Source organism: Homo sapiens, chromosome 9 (assembly GCF_000001405.40).
Source record: "Homo sapiens chromosome 9, GRCh38.p14 Primary Assembly".
Lineage (NCBI taxonomy): Eukaryota > Metazoa > Chordata > Mammalia > Primates > Hominidae > Homo > Homo sapiens.
Window position 1 is genome coordinate 76190076 of NC_000009.12, and position 12634 is coordinate 76202709.

Genomic DNA, 12634 nt, shown 5'->3' on the forward strand with positions numbered 1-12634 from the left:
ACACAGGCATAGCTTCCCCCACTATCAACATCAAGCACTAGAGGAATACATTTGTTACAGTTGATAAACCTACAGTGACACATCATTATCACCCAAAGTCCACAATTTACATTAGGGCTCACTCTTGGTTATATATTCTGTGGGTTTGGACAAATGTATAACAACATGTATGCAACATTATAGCGCCATGCAAAGTAGTTTTACTGCCCTGAAACTCCTCTGTGAATTACCTACTCATCTCTCCCACCCACTACTGATTTTTTTTTTTTTTTTACAGTCTCCATAGATTTGCCTTTTCCAGAATCTGTATAATTGGAATTATACAATATGTAGCCTTTTCTAGCTAATTATTGTTGTATTTCTTTCCAGTTTTCACCATATTAAAAATACCATGCACATAGAGTTTTGTATCTTGCTTTTTGCACTAAGGATTAGGCATAAACATTATCCTATGTTTTTACAAAGTTTTAGGAAACTTTATTTTTAATAGCAGCATAAAATTCAATCATGTGAAGATTCTATAGTTTTTAGCCAATCTCCTATTATTTGGATTGTTTATAATTTTGATGTATAAACAGTAATTAAATGGGTATCTGAATCTTTCATTAAGCCTGTGAGGCTAGGAAGTAATATTTTCATCTTACAGAAGGGAAAACCCAAGGTGTAGAGCTAGGAAATGATAGACCTAAGTATAGAACTTAATATTTCAAAATGTTGGTCTGTTCTTTGCACCAATGATTCTGAACCAGGATGCAGCACCATCCCCAAATATTCTGATTGAATTGATCTGGGGTGCAGCCCATGATCATAGGTTTAACTTCCCAAGTGTTTCTAATCTGCAGCCAGGTTTGAGAACCACTGCACATCCAATTCTCCCTAACAATTTAGCTAATACCAAGTTTCCTCACCTCTCTAGCCTCAGTTTCCCCATCTGTAAAAATGAATGAATTTAAATTATTCCAACTCCAACATTTTGTGAACTTTTTTGACTCTTGAAATAACTTACGCTGAAGCGACCTAAAATTTACTCCTAAATTTATGCAGATATTACATGCCAATGATGTAGAAATTGTTTAAACTATTTGTTTAAACTATTGTTGTTCAAAACATCTTTGGATTGTTATAAAAATAGAAAACAAACAAAAAATATGCAGTTGGAACAATCTGACTGACATGATCGCTGCCCTAGGTTTATTCTTTCCCTTCTTTTGAATGTTTCCCCTTCTGGAAATTTCATGAAAGGAAAAACAGTACCATTGTCAGGAGAATGTGGACTTGGAAGTCAGAATGCTGTCATTCATACCTGGTCTCCAGGCCTTGGGCAGGTTATGAACTTCTCTGGGCCTCATTTCCACCATCTGTAAAAAATGAAGAAGATAATACTACTGACCTCATCTGGTTATTCCACAACTCCCTACAAAGAATCTCAAAAAGGTGTCAGAAAGAACGGGGCACATGATTGATAGCACTGATAGGACATCATTTGTGGTCTTATTTCTTTGGAGCATCGTAGGTGACTTTGCATCTCCATGGTTTTTCCAGTATGTGATTGGTCTGGCAGGCATGGGCCCGACACAGTCAGTTCCTGTGTTCTGAGGTTTTCTCGCCAGGGCTGATTCTACTATAGCACACTGGGGTGATAAAGGCTTGGGGTGGTGGCACCCCAGGGGCCACGTAAGTATCATTTTTTAGTTACCAGCAAGTGCCTCCTTTACTTTACTTAAAAACATGGCTCCCCTATTTCTGAATATGACCAGAATTTTTGGTAGGTTAGTAACAGAAAATTGAGGAAGATGAAAGTGAGACCAGCCTGAGCAACATGGTGAAACCCCATCTCTACTAAAAATACAAATATTGGCCAGGCATGGTAGCACGTACCTGTAATCCCAGCTACTTGGGTAGCTGAAGCATGAGAATCACTTGAACCCTGGAGGTGGAGGTTGCAGAGAGCAGAGATCGTGTCCAGCCTAGGCAACAGAGCAAGACTGTCTCAAAAAAAAAAAAAAAAAAAAGAAGTGATGATCGATGCAGGAAATCCATTGTAACAACTTGAAATGTTCACCAACAGTACTTGGTACCAGGCATTTCAAGAGTTGTAATGCTTTAACTACTTTCCCTAAACCATGGTGAGCACTGGATAAGTTATGTCAAATGGCACTTTGCTAAAAGCGGAGTGTCAGGCTTGTGGGCTGAAGTGGGAAAAGAAGAATCATATCTGCAGTGAGCCCATTTTCAGGTCAGTTACAAAATGAGAATATTGATGGCTCACCAGGCTTTTGAAATCACATGGCAGCTGCACTTAAGGATGTGTTATTTATTCTCTTTCAACTGTCATATTTCTGTGATTCTAAGACATATATTTTTTACATTTTATCATCTCGGAAATCAGATGCATCTTATAATTTGTGGCAGTTTACAACTGCTTTTGACCAGAAAACTGATGTGATATCAGTGTTACTGCCCAGATATGAGAGTTGGATGCAGAGACATCTGTTCAACCGAGTTAGGCACATGACTACTTCTTCTTGTGTTGAATTTAATTCTTCTTCTTGTGTTGAATTTAATTGCCGTTCTAAAGAGGTTTGAAAATTAAACTATTGTTCAATATTCGAAGGAAAGATTCTTGCATAAGCATGGAAACAAAACAGAATGTTACATAAGTATAACAAATACTTTTAATAAGTCTAAAATTAAAATTCTAATTGATAAGACAATATTGTGTCACAGTTTAATATGAAGCATCTTTTCCTTTGTGTTACTTAAAATGATGGTGCATCTTAAATCTTGTGTCTTAGATTCAATGAAATATGGTATAAATGACTGTATACTCTCTGCTCTAGGTATCTCAAAGAAGACAAATTTCTTGCTTGTGTTATTAATTGATTTCTAATTTATTCTTTTTCTAATCTTTTTTTTTTTTCACAAATGGATACCAATTACATTTACCATTGGACTGCAATGTCTCTCCTCTCCTTGAAAAACAATGCGGTTGACTGAAATCACTTTGGGTGGACCAAATTTCCTCCTGTTGACTACTCCTGAATGATCTCTTCCAATTCCCCAAATCTGCCTCTCTGGCCAATCACAACCTTCTTCCATGTGTGTACATCATGCTGCTCTCGTCTTCAACTCCCCTTCTCTCTTGCTGACTTCTGGAAAAGCAACGGAAGAGTCCTGGGCGGAAGGAGGCTTCTGTATGCTTGTGAAAAAGAACAATCTGTGCCAACGGAAGGTTCTTCAACAACTTTGCTGCAAAACATGTACATTTCAAGGCTGAGCAGCCATCTTAGATTTCTTTGTTCCTGTAGACTTATAGATTATTCCATATTATTAAAAAGAAAAAAGCCAAAAAGAAAAAAAAAAAAAGCAAGCCACCTCTCTCTTTCTTTTCTTGCTCTCTTTTTCTTTCTCTCTCTCTCAAGTTTGTGCAGGGAGATGGTGAACTGTTTTGTCAGAACTTAAATGGAAAAAAAAATAAAACTACAACAAGCCTACCTTTTATAACTGGGTGTTTAGTGCTAAACAGCCAGAACCACAGAGACAGTATTGTATGACCAAAGCATTTGATGCCAAAATTTGACGTTAAAGTAATGATTTGATTTCCTGCCCTGGTTTTGAAGGTCCATTTTTTTCCCTTTTGCATTGACTTGCTTGTTTCCCCTTTGAAACACCTAAAAATACCTTTCCAAAACATCGCGAGAGCATACATAGACAAAAATGAAATAGAAAGCTCTTGCATGCTTGAGTCCACCATTGGGGGAAATGACAGAAAACTGGACCTGAGGGCATTAGGAACATCCTACAGAGTTGTGTTTAGTGTCGTTTGCCATGGTATTTCACAGTGAAACATGGATACTCTCCACACATCATTTACTTCATGCTGTGTACTTATGTACTGGTTTTTGCATTTTACTCACTTGATAAGTCTGCTCCACTGGTTTCATCAGATAGACTTGCTGCTACTGGCTTTTCCATTGTAGATTGGGTTATTTTACACGCAGTTCGCCAAATGGGATTGCTCTGTATAGTCAAATTGGTGATGGACAGATGGACAGAATGCAGAGGTACATAGATGAGCTGAGGCTGATCCAGCTCCCCTGAAATTCAGAGTGTTAACTTTGTAGACCCTGCACAATCTCTTGGTGCTATCTAGCCATTACCCCCATTTTTTTTTTAAAGGCCATCTGAAATTCCATTTGTCATGGTGGGAAGCATTTTGGATATGATGCAGGAAATCTCTTCCTGGAGTCAAAAGTTCCCAAGAGGTCCTGTATTTTTAAGAAATGGAATTTATTTAAATAATATTTAAGCTTGTGCCCATGTTGGCCGGGCAACTTTTTTCAATGGTGCTTATTAGAAGAAGTTTTTTCATCTTGTCATTTTAAGAAAATAAAACTGGAAATTGAATATGGGTGGCATGATTGTACCCTTTTAGTTCTCTTATTTTTCTACTCCTCTGTCCCTCTATAACTATGCCATACTATTATATGCTGGTCCACTGAATGCTGAGATGATCTGTTTTTTGGGGTTTTTTTTTTTTAAGAAATATTTTCACTGGTTTTCTGTGACTCTCTAAACACTTCATCGAAACTAGAAGACTGAATTATGAGGAAACTATTTGGATTAGTGGCCAGAAACGATGAAATCTTATAGATCTTTTGACAGTTTCTCTGTTTAGGGGAGCCTAGACTGATATCAAGTTTCTTCATATCAAAGCTTCATTGGTGACCTCATTTGCTTTACAAGTGACCAGCCATCTTGCAGGCTTCATGCTTCTGAGAGCCTTACTTAGAAGATGCTGCTGGAGTCACAGCTGAGGAGAGGAATACTATCAACATGGACTATCCTGGGAAAGAGCTAGGAAGTAGATGCTGAGGTCCCCATCCAAACAGCAAGCTAGGAAAAAGCCTGCCTTGAAAATATTTCTAGACATCAAAGATAACTTACAACCCAAAGTGAATAATAAGTAAATAGTCTGATGACCCTCTTAATAGCATTGCAATTGTATTGAATCACATAATGATTCATAAGTAACTAGGGAACCAACTGATTTTGCTAAGCAGTCTTCCCCTTATAACACCACAGGCCCTTCTGACACACAAAAAAATGAAAGTTAATCCTGGGTACAGCATACAGTTTTACATTTAAACGCACAGTCTTACGTGGACAAATGCAAGCACAAGCCTAAAGCAAGGTCAAGCAGATGGCAAAACCGAATTTGCCTGCAAAGAAATCTATTTAACTGAATCAGCCCATAATATTTGAGGCACGAGGTTACTGTGATTGATAGGAAAGATAAAAATGATGTCTGTTTTTGTAGACGAATAACCATCAACATGACAACAAAATTCATTGGGGTCTACCAGCGTGCATTCCATTTCCCACTGACCATGCAGGTGCACGTCGCGGAAATACTGGTTTAACTACTAGTGTGTTACTGCCTCATTTATCTACATAACATTATTAACTAGAACATAATGCTTTCAAAGTTTAAGTTAATGTTATATATTATGTATAAATATATATATTCATAATGAGATATATGTAATGGATAGTACAAAGTTTGGAGACTCAACAAATGCTCTAACCTTCTAGAGACAAAAGTCCTATTTCTGTTTTCTTTTGTCTTTTTATTTTCAATTAGTGACCCATTGTTAAATCCAAATCCACTTTTACTGAAAAATACTGTACATGTGTAAAATGTTCAGTTGTTTTTTTGTAAAATATAGTAGAACGGTTGTAACTGATACTGGCCAAAATCAATGTTATTCCATATTTTATTTTTTCTATTAAATTAACCTAAGTTCCTGTTTATTTGATCTGTTCATACCCACGTATAAACTTCTCTGAAAGGGTAAGGTCATGAGAAACTTCCCTGTTTCTACATAGAAGCTGAATATGAAGGAAAGGGTGGAGGTGCATGAAACATCTAAATAAAGTTGGAAAAGAAAGAGTGAGCAGAGGAGGGAATTGAGAAGGAGTGAGAAACAGCAATGTAAGAAAGGAATGGGTTAGATTTGGTCATGAATATATATTAAATACCATCTTTAGAAAGCAAGGCTGTGAAAAAAAATCCATAAAGGCTTGGTATTGTTTCTATCAGATTGTACAGACGCTGGACCCCAGAACAGGGCCCACCTGGTCCCATTCTTCCTGTAGTGCGCAGCACACCCACTAGTATGTGTCTGTAGGGTTAGGAGCCATGGCTGGGGGCAAGGAGGTAGGCAGTGTAAAAGCTGTTAAAGAGGAAGGTGGCTTTGTTCAATTTGCTGACATCTTGCGTAAAGTCGGCATTGGCTGGATGTCTAGAAGATGATTTTTGTCTAAAATAAATCTCCGGTACATACCAGGGGGTGGGACTGAACGAGCTAGCTAAAAACAGCAGTGGAGTATAGATCTTTCTGAACCGTGCCTGAGATGCAATTACTAGTCTTAAAGGTTCAGTGCTCTGCCTTTTGGGGAAAAGAAATTGTAAACCAGCCAAAGCCACAAACAAATTGAGCTCCAACTAGGTTTAAAGATCTGGAGATAACAACCAGGTATGAGAAAGAGCCTCTACTGCTTTGAAGTCCCATTATAGGGATGGAGAGAAATTAATTTTATTGATCACTTACTATGTACTACACAATGTGAGAATATAGAGTAGGTATATACACACTGATGTGGATATGTTCTCTCTCAATTTTCAGAAGGACTCCTCTAGAGGTGAATGTATTATCCTCCATTTACACATGAGAAAACTGGGCCACATAGACTTGAAACAAATTGATTGAGATTCCATATCCAGATTCATAATAATAATACAATTTAACATTAAGACAATTAACAGCAAGTAGTACATGCCAAATCTCAAATGAGTGGTACACTGAGTTGTTAAGTTCAGAACAGGCAGAGATTCCTTTGAATTGGACTGGTCAGTTCCCTAAAGCAGGTAGAGCTAGAATTGGTCCCTGAAGCATGGATGAGTCTTACCTGGGAAGACAGGAAGAGAGCGGGAAGAACATTACCAATGAACTTGCTCCAGTTACCAGTGAACTTGCTGCATACAAGGTGCTTAGGGAAGTAAGATGTTCTCATGGTTTTAATCTAATTATCTATTGCTACAAAGAACAGTGATTCAAAATTTGGTGGTTTAGTCCAGAAAAATCTACATTTGTACACCTTGTAGAAGAAGGATAGTGTGTCCATTCTGAATCCCCACATCCATGGGAGACTGCTAATTATCACTCACTTTCCACTCCAGTTATCAGAGGCTTGTCACACTGCTGATCTCTTCTACCAGATTCATTATTTTCCGCTGAATAAGCTACCCTTCATTTTTAAAGAACTTACAAACTGAGTACTTGGTAAAGAAGGGGAAGTGATTGCTATAGTAACTACTAAAGTTTCTCAATCAAAGTGATCAATACTTGCAACATATCTGAGTATGGAAATAAATACATAACATCTTATCCCCCTCATGTAAAAAGAATGTCATGCCGCTAAAATATAAAATAGACATTCATTCTTAACAGCTTCCATATTATCATTCAGCCTTGCACAGAGAGAGCAATGGCAGACGGCAATGTGTTGAACAGAAATTGCATATTGGAGGCAATTTTAAACTATGGCTCAGCCAATTTAATACCCCCCCTCCTTCTGTCCCCAACCACAAGATGGTAGAGGTGGAACAGAGGACAGCTGCAGTGTGACCTCACCCAGCCCAGGGCCCTGCGCCCAATATGTGTAGAAGACGGCACAGATCTTCTTCTCTTCTCTGGTGAACATCCCTTTCTAAATGTTATGTTTGTTGCAGACTCATGAAATCTGAAGTTTTCACACAGAATACTTTAGAGCCTTTGACATATTTAGCAGGGCATAGCCAAGGTGGACTTAATTTCACTGTAGCTCATTAGAACTACTTGGCACCTAGAAATGGGGCTAATCTGTATAATCCTGTCTCCTCTTCATCACTAGAGGTGAAGATCAGGTCCAGATTCAGTTATTGAGCAATAAAGATGCAGTTATGCAGCCTCACTACGTTTCAGCGGACCAGAATGTGACCTGGGATGGCCAGCACTCCTTCCCGTTCTCTACCTCCAAGGGACTTACAAGGACAGTTTGACTGGCTTATTACCAAAGGACTTTCTTACAAGGTCTCTTCTCTAAAGGACCATTGTTGGATCCAGTTGTGGTTTTTTTAGGGCCAGGTGTCAGGCAACAAAAGATATTTTGTATCCCACTTTCTAGAAAATTCCAGAAACGTTCCCTGAGGCTTGAGTTGTAAGATCTTTTACTTTTTTCATTTTAGAAAACAGTACATTATTTTAAAAATACAGTGTTTTAAGCTTCACAGAGTTTTACTAAAATGGATTTATTTAATTTGGCCCACACAAAAATCAGGCCGATAGACATTCATTTTCTGATGCAAGAGGCACAGCTAGTTAAGGGGTGTGGCTGGGACTCAAGCCCACAGCTTCAACATTCTGTACAACACTGATTCCTTTTTAAGAGTGCTGGAGAAAAGCAAGTCCACATCACATATGTTGCAAGGCAAGGGGGTAAGAGCCTTTTCTCAAGTGAAGATAGAAAGCACACTGTGTGCCTGGGCTTGACTTTTTCTCATTCCAAAAGAGTTGCTTCCATAAATAAATATTATTGAGTCCCCGCCACAAACTAGGTTCTGAGTGTTCTCTTGCCCTCTTCAAACTTATAGTCTAATGAGGGAAACAGACACTTAGACATAAAACACATGGTTACAATGTGAATCCGTTTAAGTGCCTTTAAAGGGTATAAAATATTGTCAGGAGTCAAAGGAGCAAGCTCACTTCACTAATCACGTGCTAAGGTTCCATGCCCTTGCACTACAAGCTTCCCAAGGACTTCCAAAAATAGCATGAAACCTTAAAAATGGAGTTGACTCTAAAATGTACAAATAAAACTGCAAAGATCAAAATCAAATGATATCTTTATTAAATATCTACAAAGTGGATCATGTCAAACTAGTCCACTGCAACTAAGAAAGTATACTTACAGCCATTGTCACTTGACAGCAGGGATATGTCTGAGAAACGCATCCTTAGGTGATTTTGTCATCATGCAAACATCATAGAACACACTTACACAAACCTAGATGGCATAGCCTACCACCCACCTAAGCTGTATGGGATGGCTTATTGCTTCTAGGCCACAAAGCTGTACAGCATGTTACCGTACTGAATACTGCATGCAGTTGTAACAAAATGGTAAGTATTTGTGTGTCTAAACATAGAAAAGGTATGGTAAATATATGGTATAATCTTATGGGACCACTGTCATATATACAGTCTGTTATTGACCAAAACGTCATTATATGGTACATGACTATAATTAATGTTAATGTAGAATAAAGGTGAATTTTAATATGCTTGATATGATGTGAGACCTGCAGAGATTGGAGAATCTAGGATCTTGAGAATCTTCATAGCCCTGCAAAGGAGGGAGGAAGTCACTATTCACCCTCTAGGGAACAGAAAAGAGGAGAGAGAGATATGTCCTATCCTTGGTGGTGGTCAGGGAGGTCACTGGGGTGGGGCGTGGAAGGGCAGCGTACGGGACTGCAATATGTGGATGTCTTCCTGGATATCATCCTCACTTCTTCCCTGTGCCTTCTACACTCTCTCCAAGGAGATCTTTGTCAATCTCATGGTTTTAAATACCATCTATATGCTGATGACTCTTAAAATATATATAGATTCCTGATCTCTTCCCTCAAGATTCACACCTGTAGATTCAATTAACTACTTGACATTTCCCTTCAGCTGTCTAATAGGCATCTCAAAATTAACACGTCCAAAATAGACTTCAGACACCCCAACCCCCTGACCATCTTTACCACCAAATCTCTCCCACCTCAGTAAATGGCATTCACTGTATTTCCAAATATATCTCTAAATGGTCTACTTCTGCCCACTCCATAGCTGTGACTGTGGCCAAACCACCATTGTTGCCATCCCAGACTGCTGCAACAGCCTCCGAACCAGCTCCCAGACTTCTCCCTCTCCTCTCCTATTTTCTCTCCTTTCCCTAATCAGTTCCCTACACAGCATAGTGCCATTACAAATGGAAAATCAGATTTCATCTCTGTTTACTGAGCATAAAATCTGAACTCCTTACCTGAGATCTTTGTGCTGTCACCTCACACCACCATCCCCCATGCCCTCACATGTTCTAGTCATGCCAACTTTCTTTTCATCCTTCAAACAAAACCAGCTTGTTTGGGACCCAGGACCCTTGCCCTTCACATGGCTGGCTTCTTCTCATCCCACAGGTCTCAGTTCAAAAATAACTTCCTCTGAGCAGTTCCTTCCACCACTGACCCCACACCTGCCCACCTCGTTTTGACTTTCCATAGCACTCACCACATGACATTTTATGGTTCGTTACTTGTTGTCAGCCAGCCCCGTGAGAGCTGGTGCTTCATCTGTCTTGTTCACAGCTGTATCTTACATGTCCAGCACATGCCTTGCTTAAGAAATATTTGTGGAATGAATGAATAAGAAAACATCCGAGAGAAGTGACATTTGACCTGGGCCTTGAAGGATAAGCAAGAAATTAAAAATCAAAGAAGGTTATGATGTTTAAGAAGGATATTCGAGAGAGAGAACCTGAGCAAAGGCACAAAGCCATTGAAAGGGTCCTGTGGACGGCGATCACTTGGAGGCCCAGGCAGGGGATGAGCAGGGCAGGCAGCTTGGGAGAAAGGATGGAGAGATGAGTGGGGTCAACCGGTAAAGAACCTTCGCTGGACTGTTTCCCTTCCTCCACCCTCTTGTCATCAATGTCATCAACCCTCTTTTCAGAGAGGCTAATTGATTTGCCCAAGGACCCCATCAAGTCAACTCTTGGCCTCCTGCCAACATATTTGAGAAGCATTCACTCAGACAGAATGCTGAGGCGGCCAGATTTGCTCAGTCCCCAGGCACTGATGGCTGTATTGAGCCAGTTGAACGAAAGAACAGGGTGCAAGCTCACATGAGAGGCAGCAGCCCACAGCTTCTGTTCACTGTGATGTCCACAGTCAGAGCAACAATTTGGCAAGGCCTGTTTGCAAAACTGGACTTGGGACCATAAGCCTGCTCAGTACCATCTTTTTCTCCTAAGAGAAGATCCCCTAGCCCTCTAAACTGTCATCACCAGAGAAGAACAAAAGGAAAAAACATGATGTGCTAGCACTTCCCTTCCCTAACAATGAAAACAGTAACCCCCATATGCGGAGTACTTCCTATATGCTGAGCTAAAGGCTTCATATGGGTTATTTAATTCAGTACTTCCAATAGCCTGATTCTATCTCCATTTTACAAATAAGGAAACAGATGAGGTAAATGCCTAAGGTACTCCAGTGGTAGATAGAAGGTCTGGGATTAATTTAAACCCAGACAATCTGATATCAGAGCACCCACAAGGAGAAATACAAGAGCCAAGGAGGATTCCATCAAAACAAGCTTCACGCTATGATTGTGGAGTGTGCGACGGGTTTCTATATTTTAGCTGGTGCTGTCAGGTCCCAGGTGCATGTTATTAATGTCCACCCAGGAGTACACACTGTGGCTACATCATGCTTTGTGTGAACAAGGCAGGAGTCAATATTTGATCATTAAAGTTAGTAACAACCAATGGGCCATATGGACAAAATCAAAATGGACCTAAGGTAAATGAGGCAGTGGCTGTTACAAAGAAATGGGGATATGATGACATGACACTTCCTTTCATAATTTCTTTGTAAAGAGGCTATTGTTTGCATTCTCTAGCCCAAGTTGAAATGAAGAAGAAATAAAATGGAGTTATTGGGAACATTAGAAGAAACATTAGCATGCTGAAAGTTAATACAAATACTTAATACAAATTCTGTGAGCTCCTTTGACAAATCTGGTGAAACAAATTCTTTCCAGGTGATATTAAACAGGATTTCTTGCCACCGAAATCACAATGGTTGCAATATAATAAAAGCTAAACTATGAAAAAAGTAAGGCTTTTTATTATATATAGGAATATAATGTTTAATTGTTCTATGTTATCAGAAGAGCCACAAATATGGCAGAAACCGGAAGTCATCTTGAACATCTCCTTCGTCACTCCCACATCAGATCCAACACCAAGTCAAGACAGTTCTACCTCCCAAATCTCCCAGATCCACTTTCTGTTCTTCATCTCTTCTGCCCCTATCCTAGTCTAACACTTTGGATCAAGCTACTTCTCACCTGGGATATTGCAGTATCTCCTCATTAGCCTCCCTGAACACACCCCATCTGTCCACAGTCATGTGTCTTCATCTTCATCTCCTATTCCATTTTCCACAACAGCCAGAATGCTCTTTTTAAAAATTCAAAGCTCAGCATGAGACTCCACTCCCCTGTGACTTCCCAGTTCCCTAGGATAAAACTGAAATTCCTTTCCACGGCCTTGAAGGCCAGGGTCAATCTGACCCACCTCTCCTCTCTAAACTTAGCTCACAACATTCTCTTCTTCCCCAAGTATTTTCCTGCCACATTTACTTTCCCTGATTCTTCCATTCTGCCCTGCACCCTAGAACACCCCCACACATCACTCCCCCTCCTTTAATGTTATCTCACCCGAATCATCTATCGTCTGGGCCTCAGTTTAAATGTCACCTCTT

General features: G+C 39.6%; 1 protein-coding gene across 8 annotated transcripts in view; it reads left to right on the forward strand.

Moving 5' to 3' along the window:
* PCSK5 (proprotein convertase subtilisin/kexin type 5) overlaps positions 1 to 12634 on the forward strand; it is a 473167-nt gene that overhangs the window by 300267 nt on the left and 160266 nt on the right. For 2 of the 8 annotated variants that reach the window (NR_120409.2, NM_006200.6), the window contains one exon: positions 3162 to 5814. The exons of 5 other annotated variants lie outside the window; for them this stretch is intronic. Coding sequence is in view for 2 of the 3 variants with exons in the window: in NM_006200.6 (NP_006191.2) it covers positions 3162 to 3277 (116 nt within the window). In the remaining variant the exon portion in view is untranslated. Of the gene's footprint in view, positions 1 to 3161; positions 5815 to 7956; positions 9396 to 12634 lie in introns of those variants that run through there. One more of the 8 variants, XM_047423455.1, reaches the window with a different exon arrangement.